Genomic DNA, 16,203 nt, shown 5'->3' with positions numbered 1-16,203 from the left:
GGAGAGGTTCACAGAGCAGTGATTGGGCGGTGGGAGAGTGAGGTCTCGGGAGAATTTTCTTTTGTACACTGTGAGCGATTATAGTGGGTTTATTTGTCGGTGGGAATAATCCATTAGAGAAGGAAAAACTGGTGATGCTGGAGAGGGGAAAATCATTGCAGTAAAGTCACCAAGTAGGTAAGAAGGAATGGGATCTAGAAGACAAGTGGAAGGGTGGCCTTTAGATAGGAATGCAAACAATTCATCCAGAGTAATGGAAAGGAAGGCAGAATGCACGAATGTGGACACAAGTTTGTGTCTAGATGGGGTGGCAAAACTTTGTGAACGTTCTTCTTGATTTGCTTCTAGTTTCTCAGTGAAATAAGAAAGATTGTCTATTGATAATAAGGGGGCTTGGTGAGACCCACTGAGGTGCATTGAAAGCGCTTCACTATTATGGAGGTGCAGGGGATGGTCTGGGTTGGGGAACACCAACCTGAAGAGACCACTGCAGTCCTTCTGGGGAGAAACAGTGAAACCTGGACAGAGAAGTGGTGCTAGACATGGAGAGAACGCATAGATTCAGGTATGCTTTGGAGACAGAATATGCGAAACTTGCTGTTGGATTAGCAGTAGACATAAGGGAAAGCAAAGGATCAAGAATAATATTGCTGTGAAAAGCATCTTAAAAGGCAATGAATTACAATTGCTTCAACTATATTAAAAGGAAGTCCTGGGAGCTTTTACTATTTTAGCTCACACAACTAAAGTTCACTTTAGCTCTTTTCTCATCTTAAAATCCCTCCTAATACTATTGTAATCTTTGATTTTTAACATACTATGATTAGAAAACAGCACAAATGATTTAGAGTGGTTGTCAATCGTTGGGCTCTGTGAGCGGGGAGTAGATTCTCATTTTGCAGACGAAGAGAGGACCAGAAAGGCCAATAGAACTAATTACAAATGTTGTGGAGTTGAGGGAATAAAACAAAAACTGCTTTATTAGTTTAGAATAATGAAAAGTACTTTACATCTTAGATTGCAGAACATTAACTATATGCTTATTTTGTTTTATAACGCCTAGGACAAAATCTCATACAAATAGATACTTTAAGAAATGCACTTGACATGATTTTGCATGATACATTAATTGCCATTGATTGTCAAAAATTCTGGCCGAGCGCGGTGGCTCATGCCTGTAATCCCAGCACTTTGGGAGGCTGAGGCAGGCGGATCATGAGGTCAGGAGATCACGACCATCCTGGCTGACACAGTGAAACCCCATCTCTACTAAAAATACAAAAAACTAGCCGGGCGTAGTGGCATGTGCCTGTAGTCCCAGCTACTTGGGAGGCTGAGGCAGGAGAATCGCTTGAACCCGGGAGGCGGAGGTGGCAGTGAGCGTAGATTGTGCCACTGCACTCCAGCCTGGGCGACAGAGCGAGACTCCATCTCAAAAAAAAAAAAAATCCCTTCTAAATATGTATAAAGGAACTTACAATATTGGCAGCCTTTTACATAAAGGTTATAAGATTCCAGCTCTTTTTGGAAAACTAAGTATTTGTCATGTCTTGGATTTCTGCTTTTAGCAGAAAAATAAAAAGTAGACAATAACTTTAAAAAACTGATTTATTAAAGTTTTTCATGGGGTTTTAATTTTTTTTGGTTTACATCTAACTCATAGAATGTCTGAAACTGGGATTTCATTACTATGATTAAAAAAAATTACTTTGCAGTTACCCTTGTTCCTGGAATATGACAGCTTTCCCTAAAAAGCAAACAGTGGCAAAGTACTGGAAATAGTTCATTTAAAAAGATTCATTGCCTTAAAACTGTTCCTTAGTTTTTAACTTAAAAAAAATTATTGAACATTCTCTAGATGTCCAGATTGTTTTAAAGAAAGCTTTATGTTTTCAACTCGATCATCAGCCCTTTGAGGGCAGGGATGATTTTCTACTTCTGAACATGCTTCACACAACATCTGGCACAACATCTGGCATCCTAGTCGTTTGTGAATGTTATTTGAATAAACAATGAGTCACGTTCTTAAACTTTAGTGTCTTTTAATTTAGCTAGGTACGTTTTAAAAAGTCACGTTTTCCTCTGTCTACAAACGTGCATGTACAGAACCACATTGTCTTTGGATTAATCTACCTGTGACAATTAACTATCTAATTAATTAATCATCTGATAATTAAAATGACCTCCTTTTGGCTGATATTGGATCCCGAGAAAGGTTCAAAAGAAACTTGACACACCATGTTGTGTCATGTTCCATCGTGAGACACTCCTGCTATTTATCACGTTATGTCATATCTGATCACATCATGGCAATGTTAAGTTGAACATCAACATGGTGACATATTAGAAAAATTCTGAAGCACTAAATTTATATAAAGTCATCCATTCTTCACTCCTGCAAAATGGAATAGTCACGAAGCAACATTGGCAAATGTAGCATCTTTTATCCATCTGTAAATCTAGCACTGCTATTCATCAAGTAAGTTCATACTACTGGACTTCCCCTTTCCTTCAATTTCTTGCTCAAGGTTTTGGCTAAGTCCATTTGGACAACATGTGGGCTTATGTGGCTTATAAATCTTGCACGATCCTGTACTTTCATCTACTGAATTCCTCACAATAGAAGAAAATTAGAACACAGAATCTTTAATTGGATTTGGAACACATCATTTTTCTCTGTCTCCAAAAAAGTGACTAACCAAGAATTCGAATTTCAGTGGAAACTCTGCAAGCAAATCCAAGTTTTATAGTCTTCATTTGGCATTCTGACTTCATGGCAGACTCAGTGACGGCATTGCTATTGCCTTCATATTTATGGAGACATTTTTGGTTTCAAGATGGTATACTGATTTCCAAAATGATTCCAGGTTTCTGTGGCCCTGTGGAATACAATGAATCCATAGAAACATGACACTTTTTAAAACATTGTATGTTAACATTTTAATATACAGTATGCTATGAGCTTTAACTTAAAATTCTAATTTTTATTTACTGTGATTAGTGTATTATGTTATTATGGAGTAATGTGGAGTTTACTGGGGGCATAAGCAGTAAAAGTGACCTATGGCTGACATACTGTATCTTTAATAAGCTACAGATGACATGAGTCTCTTCTCATAGGGGATATTGGCTTTCTGTATATAATTAATAACAAGAAAACTGTATCCTGACTTTAAGGTCTGCAGTAGCATCCTGGAACAAAAAGAGCCATAAATTAGCATCAATTATGTATTAAAGTTCCAATTAACCTGGCTGACACTGATATACTTTAACAAGGCACATTTAGATAAAAGAAAAAACTCTCTAATTACTTGGAACAGGACCTTATGACCCACTCTACTCTTTTATCCCAATTCCAACCCAATAAAGAATGAAGTGAGAGGGAGAAAATTCCACAAAGGGTGACGATACAACATCAGAAGATATTCCCTGGGATACTCTTTTACCATCAAAAACTCTCCATGATGAATATTTTATTGTATTTGGATTCCTAAAAACACACACAGACATTGAAGAAGAAGGGTATTTTAAAGTTGGAAATGGTGGCATCTTCTGAGATTTCCCACTAGAACTCATTGTGCACATTATAAATATTTAATGTGAATTCTCCTCTCCCACCCCCAGTCTGCCTGGACCTGCTTTGGACACATTCTCTAGAAAGGGAGCTTGGTGGTCACAATCCCTTCTGTATTGCTCACTCTCCTGGCCCCCCAAATCTTTGGACAGCCTTCCTGTTTTCTATTTGATTTAGGAAGAGCATTCTGGTCCCCGGTCCCCATCTGTTCTCCAGGTGGCTCTTTGGATGTTGTTGTTCTCTGTTTTCTGTCCACTGCCTGGGCATCTTGCCCACTTAGTTCTCTTGGTCCTCGTGCTCCTCCTGGTGTCGCCTGGTCAGTTAGCTTCATCTACAATTGCATATGTAACTTCTAGGCTGCACACGGCATGCACTGAAGTATTTCTTCATCTGAAACCACAGAAATAGCAGATGAAGATATTCATAGAATGGATGAGAGAAAAAAATGCAGAGATTGTGGGCGACAGGGAGGGAGTGGGAGCAAGGCAGATTCTACTAGCTGAGGAGGCAGAGGAGGGAAGGACATAAAGAATAGAATAAGAAGTGATTTGTCCTTATCACACTTTTATCTTTCTGTGGATCATTATCAGATATTACAGTCATTTGCTTTCCTACAGCAATCTCCCATTAGACACTCGCTCATTTCTTGACATAGTTTCCTGAGTCTGTGCTCTAACTCACCCTCCACAGGAGATGGAGGAGCCTTGTCTCATTTCTCTCACTTACCCTTTATTCAGCCAGGCTTCCCTGCTCCTTCTACCCCTCCCCCCACCAAATAGCACAAGGCATAAATACTTTCTTCAAGGCTCTTCCCTGCTTACATCCAAAATGAGATCGACTTTTTATAGACATGAATGAACTCAGCTTTTAGCCAAATATGAAATAAAAAATCAAGAAATGCATCTAAATAAAGCAGAATTTCTACTTATACATTTGAATAAATATATCCAAGTTCTTTCAGGGCCACAGATATAGTGAATAGATACTTAGATCTATCTAAGTACTAAGTAAGTATCTAGAACAGATGCTTATGAATAGAGATGAAAGTAGACGTACAGAATTTAAATTTGTCAACATATGTGGCCAGTGAAATGGTCCCAAGTATAACTCTGACCACGTGTTTTTTTGTTTTTTTTTTTGCAAAGGAAAGTGATAGTAAAGGCATAAGATGTAGGATGTTAGTGCAGCTTGGGGGCTGGGATCTAAGGTTAACTGGCTTGAGCTGAGGCTGACTGGGGAAGGGCAGCTGCCCTACAGCCACGTAAAGGCCCCAGGAACTTCCTTCAAAATCTGAATTTTTGCCCTTAGCCCATTTTGGTCTATGTGCTCAGGTTCAGGGCTTCCAATTGTTTTCTTATCGCCAATTTTGTGTTTTTCTGACCTTGATCTGACAACTTAACTCTATCCTACAGACTTTGTCTGCTTCATTGTAAATATTAGTTCAAGGATAAACAGGAAAGTCTTATAAGTCTCCAAACAGAAAGGACAAGTTACTTAAAAAAGTGAAAAGAGGTAGCGTGTCGTTCTTCTTTTCATTTGAAACATGGAAGCCGGAAGGCAATGACATATAGCCTCTACAGAAAACTGAGATGAAATCATCGTAATCTAATTTATCTGAGAGAAAAAGGCAAGAAACCAGTGAAACTTTGCTCCAAATAGTGGATTCAAGCCACCGTGATCTCTCACCTGGACATTCAGATCACAATGGTCCCATCACAACACTTCCGTGCTCAAGACCCCTTAGAGGTTCCCATCTCTCCTTTTCTCTCTCTCTCTGTCCTTTCCTTCCTTCCTTCCTTCCTTCCTTCCTTCCTTCCTTCCTTCCTTCCTTCCTTCCTTCCTTCCTTCCTTCCTTCTTTCCCTCCCTCCCTCCTTCCCTCCCTCCTTCCTTCCTTCCTACCTTCCTTCCTTCCTTTTTCCTTCCTCTTTCTTTCTTTCTTTCTTTTTTTTGAGACAGTTTCGCTCTTGTCACCCAGGCTGGAATGCAATGGCACAATCTCGGCTCACTACAACCTCCGCCTCCTGGACTCAAGTGATTCTCCTGCCTCAGCCTTCTGAGTAGCTGGGACTACAGGCGCACGCCACCACGCCCAGCTAATTTTTGTATTTTTAGTAGAGATGAGGTTTTACCATGTTGGGCAGGACAGTCTCGATGTCTAGACCTTGTGATCCACCTGCCTCAGCCTCCCAAAGTGCTGGGATTACAGGTATAAGCCACCGCACCTGGCATCTCCTTTCCTTTTGAACAGTCTCTGATCCTTCTCCCCTTGCTCACACCCGCCAGTCACAACACCTGCCTTGCATCTGGCCTAGAACACACTTTGCCCAACTCCACATGGCTCCCTCCCTTCCTCAGGTCTTTGTTCAGGTATTATCTTATCAAGGAGGCCTTCTCTAACCCCCTACATTTTAATAAAATGGCAACTCTCTTCTGGGTCATTCTCTATCTGCCTTATTCACTTTATTTCCTATAAGTTATAGCACTTATCTGCTTACCTGTGTTTGTTTATTGTATCTCTTTTTCCCACTAGAATATGGGCACTGTAAGAATGGAGGACTTGTTTGTTCACTGCTGTCACTGAGAACAGACCCTTAGTAAGCTCTCATCATTTTTTGAAAGAAGGGAAAGGGTCCTATACCCAGCTAAGATATTCTTTTGTCATGAAGAATTAAAAAAAAATACATTGATATGCAGGAACTGAGAGAGTAGTTTGCCCACAAACCCCATTTAGATTTGTGAGAAAACCTTGGAATCATCTAGAATGCTTGTTAAAAAAGAATAGATTCTCAGATTCCAACCCACATCAACAGAGTCAGAATTTCCAGGGGAAAGTCTTGGAATCTGAATATTTCAAACTATTATATTGAATATTTCCAAAGGCCTCTTTCAATTCCTTTCATAAGGCAAACTTGGAAAACTGTAAGTCTAATCTTACAACAAATGAATCTGAATAGACTTTCAGTAGCAATAATTGTAGTATATGTATGTGTCTGATTGCATATAATATATTGTCTATCAATCAAGCAAGAATTTAACAGGAAATTTGCAATATATAAATCTTATGTAAGGATTCTTGAAGTAAAACAGATTTTTGTTATCTGACCCATTATTTAAATTGCTCATTTTTCATTACAGTTTCAATTACAGTTAGTCCAGTTGTGTTTCAGTACTAAGTTCCTTTTATCAACAGACAGATGCAGCTGGAAATGCATAGACATGATACTGTACTTGCTAAAATGAGCTCATCTGTTCATTTTAGAGTAGGAGGGAGGAGAGGAGAGGAATTAGATACATGAGTCTAACTGGTAATACTTATGTAAGACATACTAGGATTCTGTAGCAGACATTTGGTACAAGGGCAAATTGCCCTATTCCCTAATAGTCTTTGAGAGTATCATTGTGATACAGCATGGTACCACAACTGATAATTATATTGATTCTACATATTGGAGAAAAAGGCTCACAATACTCAATTTATTGTTAAAATGATTAAAAGAGGTTAACATAAAATACTGTTTGATAATTAAAGCAAACAATTTGAAAATAAAATTATGGTAAAGATTCATTCTTGAGTATCAGATGAGTAAGATAGTATTGCATAAAATAAGATCCTGGAAAACAATATGCTTATAATCTTGGTGAAGAGACGAAGCATGTAAAAACATGAAATAATTAAAGAGTAATGAAACAGTGTCTTGTACAAGTTACCTAATCTCTCTGATTCACACAGTATCCTCACCAACAAAATGGATATAATAATGAAAATCTCCCAGGGAGGTTTGAAGATTAAAGGAGATGATTTATGCCCTTGGGAAATGGCATATCATGCCACTGACTGAGGAAGAGCAGAAGTTCAGAAAAAAAAGCGATGGCTGAAGATCAACATAGACAGACAGGGAAGCCTTTATAGAGATGGAGAGATCGAAGCTTGCTCTTGGAGAAAAAGGAGATGAGAATTCTAGGTAGCAGGCTCAGTATAAGCAAAGGCGTGGAGGTGGGAAAGAACATGGTGTTCTGGAAAAAGACCATCTGACTGAAGGAGTGGTCATAAAAGACAAGGCTGATAAGGCAGACATACTTTTTTTTTTCCTTTTTTCTTTCTTTCTTTCTTTCTTTTTTTTTTTTTTTTTTTTTTGAGACGGAGTCTTGCTCTGTCACCCAGGCTGGAGTGCAATGGTACAATCTTGGCTCACTGAAACCTCTGCTTCCCGAGTTCAAGCGATTCTCCTGCCTTGGCCTCCTGAATAGCTGGGATTACAGGCATCCACCACCACACCCAGCTAGTTTTTGTATTTTTAGTAGAGTTGGGGTTTCACCATGTTGGCCAGGGTGGTCTCGAACTCCTGACCTCAGATGATATGCCCGCCTCAGCCTCCCAAAGTGCTGGGATTACAGGAGTGAGCCACCGCGCCTGGCCAGATATACTTCTTTATAGTAGAAGATAGAAATAACAAAGGAGAGAAAAGAAGGGCATTCCATGATTCTACCACTCAGAGACAGCCACTTTGGTATGCTTCCTTCTAGTTGCTTTTTTCTCTACGTAAATATTTACTTTTATAACTAAAACATGACTTGGGATAATACTATTCATAAATTTTTGTAACTGCTCTTAATATTTAACACGACATTGCCAGCATTTTTGTGTGCCTTTACTTATTTTTTGGAAGCATCATCTGTGATGGCCACATAATATTACATTTTGTGGCCTTGCTTTAAGTCAAAGTCTATTATTGCTGGAAATTGCTCTATTTTTTTTCTCCTCTAACATATAACACTATCCATGAGAATGCTTTAAAAACTAATCTCACTTTCTTCTTCACAGGAGAAATTATTAGAATGACATGACTTGGTCTAAAATATACAAACATTTTAAAGGTTATTGGTATATCCTGTTAAATTGTCTTACAGAAATGTTGTTCCAATTTATATTTCCGCTAGGAGAATATGAGTGTGTACCTTTCATTTTACTCTTGACAGAGAAATTTTGACCCAGTGGAGTTCTTGAACGGAGCCACAGTAGCGGCAGTAGGTGGAGGGATGGGAGGAAGAGATGCTAGAGCTAGATCCAGAGGTGCCATGACCACGCATTGAAATTTAGTGGTTCAAGTACCAATAGACAGGAGAAAATACATCTAAGAAATTCTCCCTCCCTTCTATCCTTCTTCTTTTCCTTCTTCTCTTTCTTTTCCCCTTACTTCTTAATAACTTGATTTGCCCTTTTATTTAAAAAAATTGTAGAAAATGTGTAAAATATAGAAATGTAAAAAGTTAACGTTTTATTATATATCTTTTTAGTCTCTATCATCTATCTATCATCTCTCTCTCTCTCTCTCTCTCTCTCTCTTTCTATCTATCTATCGACAGGGTCTTGTTCTGTCACCCAGGCTGGAGTGCAGTGGCATGATGATGGCTCATTGAAGCCTCAGTCTTGTGGGCTCAAGTCATCCTCCCACCTCAGCCTCCTGAGTAGCTGAGAATACAGGTGTGCACCACCATGCCTGGCTAATTTTTAAATATTTTTTTGTAGAGATGAGGTCTCACTGTGTTCCTGAGGCTGGTCTGAAACTCGTGGGCTCAAGTGATCCTCCTGCCTCAGCCTCCCAAAGTGCTGAGATTACAGGCATGTGCCACTGTGCTCAGCCTCAATGTATTTTATAAGTATTTTTTGCATATTAGATATTCCTTGCAAAAATGAAGGTATTTTCTTTCATGGATATAGAAATTTATTTATTAATTTCCCATTGATGGATATATAAGACATATTTTTCTTTTTTCTTTTTCTTTTTTTTTTTGAGATGGAGTCTTGCTCTGTCTCCCAGGCTGGAGTGCAGTGGCGCGATCTCGGCCCACTGCAAGCTCCGCCTCCCGGGTTCACGCCATTCTCCTGCCTCAGCCTCCCGAGTAGCTGGGACTACAGGTGCCCGCCACCACGCCCAGCTAATTTTTTGTATTTTTAGTAGAGACGGGGTTTTACCGGTTAGCCAGGATGGTCTCGATCCCCTGACCTCGTGATCCGCCCGCCTCGGCCTCCCAAAGTGCTGGGATTACAGGCGTGAGCCACCGTGCCCGGCCGAGACATATTTTTTCTATGATTTTTTTACTATTATATATAATGATGTGATAATTTTTTTTCATATCTATATTGTCTTTATTTCTGATTTTTTTCTAGGAGAAAGGAATTACTGAATAAATGCTATAGATAGATTTTAGGTTTAAGGAAGCATTTTCGAAGAGTCAATAACAAGATTAATCACACACACACACACACACACACACACACACACACACAAAATTAGGACATATTAAAAATGGTTCCAGCAGGGCGTCATGACTCATACTTGTAATTCCAACACTTGAGGAAGTCAAGGTGAGAGGATTGCTTGAGGCCAGGAGTTCGAGACCAGCCTGGGCAACACAGTGAGACCCTGTCTCTGCAAAAAACAAAATAAATTAGTTTGGGTGTGGTGGAGAGTGCCTGTAGTTTCAGCTACCAGGAAGGCTGAAGCCAGAGGACTGCTTGAGCCCGGGATTTTGAGGTTGCAGTCAGTTATGATTGAGCCACTACACTCCGGACTGGGTGACAGAATGAGACTCTGCCTCAATCGCCCACCCCCAAACAAATGTACAAACAAACAAACAAACAAACAAACATACACAAATGGTTCTTATGTTTCTAAATTTGAAGACTGGATCATAATATAGAAAATCCAAGTAAGAACTGATTTTGGAAGTTCATGAGTTTAGTTTTGAACATAAACTGAACAGGTAAACATAGATGAAAGTAAAATGAGGATAGAAGTTATTTCAAAAAGTAAACGGCCCATGTTGTCAATAAATTCTATTTCCATTATTGATATTTTGTATCTTATTGTATATTTACTAAAATTATGAGCACAATATAGAAAGGTCTAGGGCACTATTTTATATCTTTCACACTATTTCATATCTTTCACACCAAAACATTTTATTTCTGTAAATAATTCCCAACAGAAAAAATTGTAGAAAAATACTTGAGACTTCATCCCCCTCTGAAATTTTATGCTCATTTTGTCTTTCAGCCATCTTTTATGCAATTACTTAATAGATACATTAGCACATATCATTGTGATCTCTTTATTAGTGAGTGGAGGAACTATCTTTTCCTATATAAAGCATCTAGTTAGGAAGACTTAGCTGAACCAAAACCAGCATATGATAGCTAGGCGTGGTCATTTTGCTTCATGATTTAGAAATAAAACTTGTTTTAGTTAATGATTTTTTTCTGGTGTAATTTTTTCTGGTGAAATGTATACTTTTAGTTAGATAGCATGGGCTGAACTTCTTTGTCTCTTACCTGTTCTAAATTCTATGAAAATATTCAGAAACATTTATTGGATGCCTTCCAGGTGCCAGACACTCTGTTAAATGCTGGGTATGTGGCCCTAAAAAAAATAGACTTGGTTCTGGTTCTCATGGAGCTTATAGTTATGAGATAGACAGTTACATAGAAATGAGCATAGAAATTAACATAAAATTATAACTAGTGTTATGAACACTATTATAAATTATGAACACAATGACAAAAGGTGTTATTAAAGAATAACAGGTTGCTATCTGAAGCCCTTAAGGATAGCCAGATCAAGAGTAGGTACCTCAGGCCGAGTGCGGTGGCTCATGCCTGTAATCCCAGCACTTTGGGAGGCTGAAGTGGGCAGATCACCTGAGGTCAGGAGTTTGAGACCAGCCTGGCCAACATGGTGAAACCCAGTCTCTACTAAAAAAAACACAAAAATCAGCCAGGCGTGGTGGTGCATGCCTGTAATTATAGCTACTTGGGAGGCTGAGGCAGAATAATTGCTAGAACCCAGGAGGTGGAGGTTGCAGTGAGCCAAGACTGTGCCACTGCACTCCAGTCTGGGCTATAGAGCAAGACTCCATCTCAAAAAAAAAAAAAAAATAGTGGGTGAAATGGGAAGGTCAATTAGGATTCTATCGCAGTATTCCAGGTTAGTAATCTAAACTGCTCCTGAAAATTATTTTTAATCAAAGCTATTTATATATAAAAGGGAGTGAATTATTCATATTTTAATTTTCACCCCAACTTTAAATGTTTTCTGTATCTATATTGGGAAAATGTGCATTACTTCTCTGTTACACTATACTACTATAGAGTAGTGAGCCAGTATAAGTTTGCCCTATTCAGAGCAGCTAATTATATCTACCATTTGCATAAGCATGGAAGAATTAGGGTGTTAAAAAAACCAAGAGTCTTTTAAATTAGTAGCCACCTCTGAATACAACATTGATTTGTTAACTTCTCAGTGTAATTCTATTAATATTTATTTGCTTTATATATTTTGAAGCTATTTTACTGGGTGCATATAAGTTTACAATTGTTATTCTGAACAATTTAACATTTTATAATTATGGATTAAACCCTAGTCTTTAATTATGCTTGTCTTAAATTCTATTGTAGCTGCTAACCTAGCAATTGCAGCTTTCTTTTGGTTAGTATTTTGGAGGAATATGCTTTTCCATCCTTTTATTTTTAAACTCTTTTGTCCTTTTGTTTGTATTTGTTTGTATTTATTTAATCTATTATTATTCTTAAAGAGACAGGGTCTTGCTTTGATGCCCAGGCTAGAGTGCAGTGGTGCAGTTATAGCTCACTGCAGTTTCAAATTCCTGGGCTCAAGGAGTTCTCCCAACTTTGCCTCCCAAAGTGCTGGAATTATAAGTGTAAGCCACTGTGCCTGGCTTCTTTTATTTATAGTGTGTCTTTTGTAAACATATCTGGATCTTTGTATATTTGTCCACTATATAAATATCTGTCTTTAAAATTGAAAGTTTGATTCACTCAAGTTTTTTTTTCCTGATTATTGACATATTTTGGCCTGTTTCTTTCTTTTGCATCTATTTTTCTACTTTGTCTCCTCATACTACCCTAAACATACCAAGGATAGCAAGATTGTTATTTATCCCAGTGATTTAAAAAAAATTCTATTTTTATTAGAAACAGGGTCTTGCTATGTTGACCAGGCTGGTTTTGAACTCCTGGACTCAATCAATCCTCCCACCTTGGCCTCCCAAAGTGATGGGATTACAGATGTGAGCCACTGCAACCAGCCAAGTGATTTTTAATCTGCTATCAATCAGAATCACTTGGGAGATTAAAAAAATATTGATATCTATGCTCTACCACTAGGGATTCTATTTAAGGTCTGAACTAGGGCCTGGGAATTGGTATTTTTGAAAAGTTCCCTACATGATATATTACGGGTACTTTTGGATATTGATTATTTTTTAATCTCCTTCAAACGTCACACTATAACCACCTACAATACCTGGAGAATGTGCCTTTATTTATTCATTCTCATAATACCCTTGGAACAATCTGGCCTGGAATTGGCATCTACATCATCTCCGCCATGTTCTCCAGGAGATGTCTCCCTGACTTGATTCCCATTACCCACTGCCTCACAGCTCCCACATTTAATCTGTATCTTGACAAAGTCAGGTATTTCAGGTGTTCAGAGTCAAATATTGTTCAGATCTGGCCTTTTGCCTCTTAGCTCCTTTAATGAAATTCAGTTCAAGTGATAGTTTTGACCTGAGCCTGTAGTTAATATTAGATTCCTTCCTTTATTCCACGGGAACACTCCCTAAATAACCCCTCAGGAGGTTCACTGTTTGCTTGGCTCTGGACTACCAATTTGTTGCTGAAGATGCCAATAAGAACATTATTGAAATACTCACTGGAAAAACATAGATCTTGGTAGTTTTGGGAGGTGGGTTTTTTTTTTTTAATATGTTAAAACCAGTAGTCAACAATAATGTCCTCTAATCCAGTGGTTCTCGAAGTTTCATTCCTGAACCAGTAGCATCAGGTAGCAGTCAAGAACTTTTCAGGAATACGAATTCTAAGGGTACTTCCCCAGGTTTGTTAAATTACAAATACTAGAGGGTGGGGCTCAGTGATCTATGTTTTAACAAACCTTCCAAGAGATTCTGATGCTCAGTCAAGTTTGGGCAAAATAGGAAAAGTCTCTTTCCAGTGGCAACTGGCTACTTAATGACAAAATCAAGAGTGGTGCAATCACGTCTCAACACTTTTCAGTGTGTAGTACTGCAGTTGCGTGTCAGAGCACACACTAGGGAGACCACAGGGTCCTCTGAGCAGGACAAGCATTTATAGAGCCACCTAAACAAGTACATTGGTCATTTTTAGGATGATAAGTGTCTTGTGGAGGGTGTCTTGTAAACATTATTGGGGAAAATCAAAATTTCTTTAGAGATATATTTGATTACAACTCTGTAACTAAATATCAGATTAGGGGACTAGGGACTCTTATGGGGGACAAACAACTTCACCTCTGGAGGGTCCTTGGATCTGGAGTGTCCTTCCAGTTCAGACCTTGAAACTCCCTTGAGCCTGATTTTCCCAGGTTCCCAGGAGGTCTGGCCATGTGTCTGAATGCCCTATTTTCATTTTTCACACATATGTATAAATGCAATCAGAACAGGAGATTATTGTTCTTACCTTCAAACTGCTTCTAACCAAGCATATCAAAGTGAAAAATACTCCTGAATTCTCAAATGCTCATCCAGGCAAACTAGGAGTCCAGTAGATGCTCTCTGTAGGGTCAGGGCCAACCTCTTCACATTGGGGGCTTCAGTCTTGTCTCTGTAGAGCTTGCTTCTTTCTCATCTTCCCTGCTTTCCTATAGCCTCAGGCTCTCAGGCTTCTCAAGCTCATCTAACCAGTAACCTGTCAAATCATCTCAATCTCACTCCTGAGCATTCTCCTAGGCTGTTGTTTCCTGTTTACAATACCCTCACCTCACTCAGTCATCAATTTTCTCTGTAGTCAGGGTCTTCTGGAATGCCCAGTACTGTCATGATATCATGTTGAATATATTTGCAATAGGTCAGAAGTTCTTTCAGGCTCAAAGCTGTCTGCACAAATAAGCCCCAGGACTTTTCTCCCTCCTTCCACCACTTCCCTGTGAAACAGACTTATGCTGTGTGTAATAAAAATTAGTGGGAACATAAGTATTAATTTGTTTGGTTTATGTGTGTCAGATTGTACCTATGCCACTTGGTGTAGTTGTGTTACAGTTGTCTTTGATCCTAAGTGACGGGAGTGTATTATGTGTTCTCTCTGGTCTGAATGTTGCTCTTCTAGGGCCACATGTAGCTGGGTGCCTTGTAACAATGGGAAGATGAAAATTCTGCTTTTGGGTCTGATTTACATTGTCCTGAAAGGCTGAAGTCCAGCCTCTTAGGTTCACGGATGTGTATATTTGGCTTTAACACCATAGCAGGTTGTTAAACCTCTCCCTTCAGTCTGTAGAATGTATACATTGGTTTATGTCTTCAGTATGTAATTTTGGGTTTGTAGAATGGTGTCCTTCCAGTACAAAACCATGTACAAAGCATACATTTCTGTTTTGTACAATGACAAAATCTTCTAATGCCATTGCCCTCAAGCATATTCAAAATGAGAAAGGAAATGCTTCCCCTTTACATAATAAGGATTTTAGATTACATTTCAACACCGTGGAAACTAGGCATTGGGATAGGATCTTTTCTGTCTAAATATATCCTGAGCTTTCAATTACACTTTCTATTTCACCAAAGCGACTTCTAAAATTCCTCCAACTTCACAATGTTTCCCTTTATTTTGGGCTGGCAGGGTCACCTTGGGCCCATCCCTCAGCCTTCATCAGCAATTATTATCACTTCAAGAGAAGCATAGTTGGGGCAATCCTAGTGCAAAGTATTCTCTCAGAGAAACTATTCTGGTACTGTAGGATGTGGAATAAAATTAAAACACATCTTACATTAGGAGTGGCCACTTTTAACCCTGTCAGTTCTAAAGGAAATAGAGTTCTGGAATAAAAGAATACAGACCTTCCTTTGAGAGGGGAGGAGCAAGCCCTCCTACAAGAAATGCTAGCAAGATGCAGTGAAAGCACCATAGTTCCTTCGATTTTAAATATCCCCGTCTGTGAAACAAAGTTTTCTGTTGACAGATTTCCTAAGGTTCTTTCAAACTCCATTCATTCATCCACAAATATTTATGAGCACCGAGTATCAGACACTTGGAATGAAGTGATGAACTAGGGAGATGAGATTTCTGGTCTCCCTCAACTCAGGAAGCTAAATCTCATATTTAATAGTCTCAATGAAAGGACAATTGCCAGTTACATTGAATAAGGATTTTTGTTTAATATTAGGGTTTGCATTATTCCCATGGTGCTCCAAGTCATGCTTCTTTTCTTCTACTTGCTGGTCTTTCTCAACCATTCCCAGAGAAACATAATACCATGGCACTAAGTCAAACACTTGTCTTATGATGCATTGAGAAAATGCCAAATATATTTTATTGGTCAATATTTATTTTGATATAAATTATGGCTGATATTTCCTACATTCATGGGTGTGATTTAGAGAGGGAGAATGGATAATTGTGACCACATTTGGGTCATACTGCTGTGTCATAATTATATGAATGTATGGATAAGCCTTCCTCAAAATAAAACACAGTTGAAAAATCTTCTCATCTTAGCCTTGTAAAAAAACTTCCTTGGGAATCAGTCTGTAAATTATTCCTCCATAGATTAATAGATTACATTTTAGCAGTGAG

At 38.7% G+C, this 16,203-nt stretch overlaps 1 long non-coding RNA gene across 2 annotated transcripts in view; it reads right to left on the bottom strand.

Moving 5' to 3' along the window:
- Positions 1-1,448: 1,448 nt before the first annotated feature.
- LINC02031 (long intergenic non-protein coding RNA 2031) overlaps positions 1,449-16,203 on the bottom strand; it is a 30,497-nt gene continuing 15,742 nt past the window's right edge. The window contains exon 5 of one of the 2 annotated variants that reach the window (XR_427440.3): positions 1,449-3,964. This is a non-coding gene — a long non-coding RNA (long intergenic non-protein coding RNA 2031). The remainder of the gene's footprint in view (positions 3,965-16,203) is intronic. The other variant, XR_001741038.1, reaches the window with a different exon arrangement.

The sequence above is a fragment of the Homo sapiens genome, chromosome 3 (genome assembly GCF_000001405.40).
Source record: "Homo sapiens chromosome 3, GRCh38.p14 Primary Assembly".
In the NCBI taxonomy this organism is placed as follows: Eukaryota; Metazoa; Chordata; class Mammalia; order Primates; family Hominidae; genus Homo; species Homo sapiens.
The sequence above is the reverse complement of the archived record's forward strand: the minus strand, read 5'-3'. Positions and strand labels throughout refer to the sequence as shown.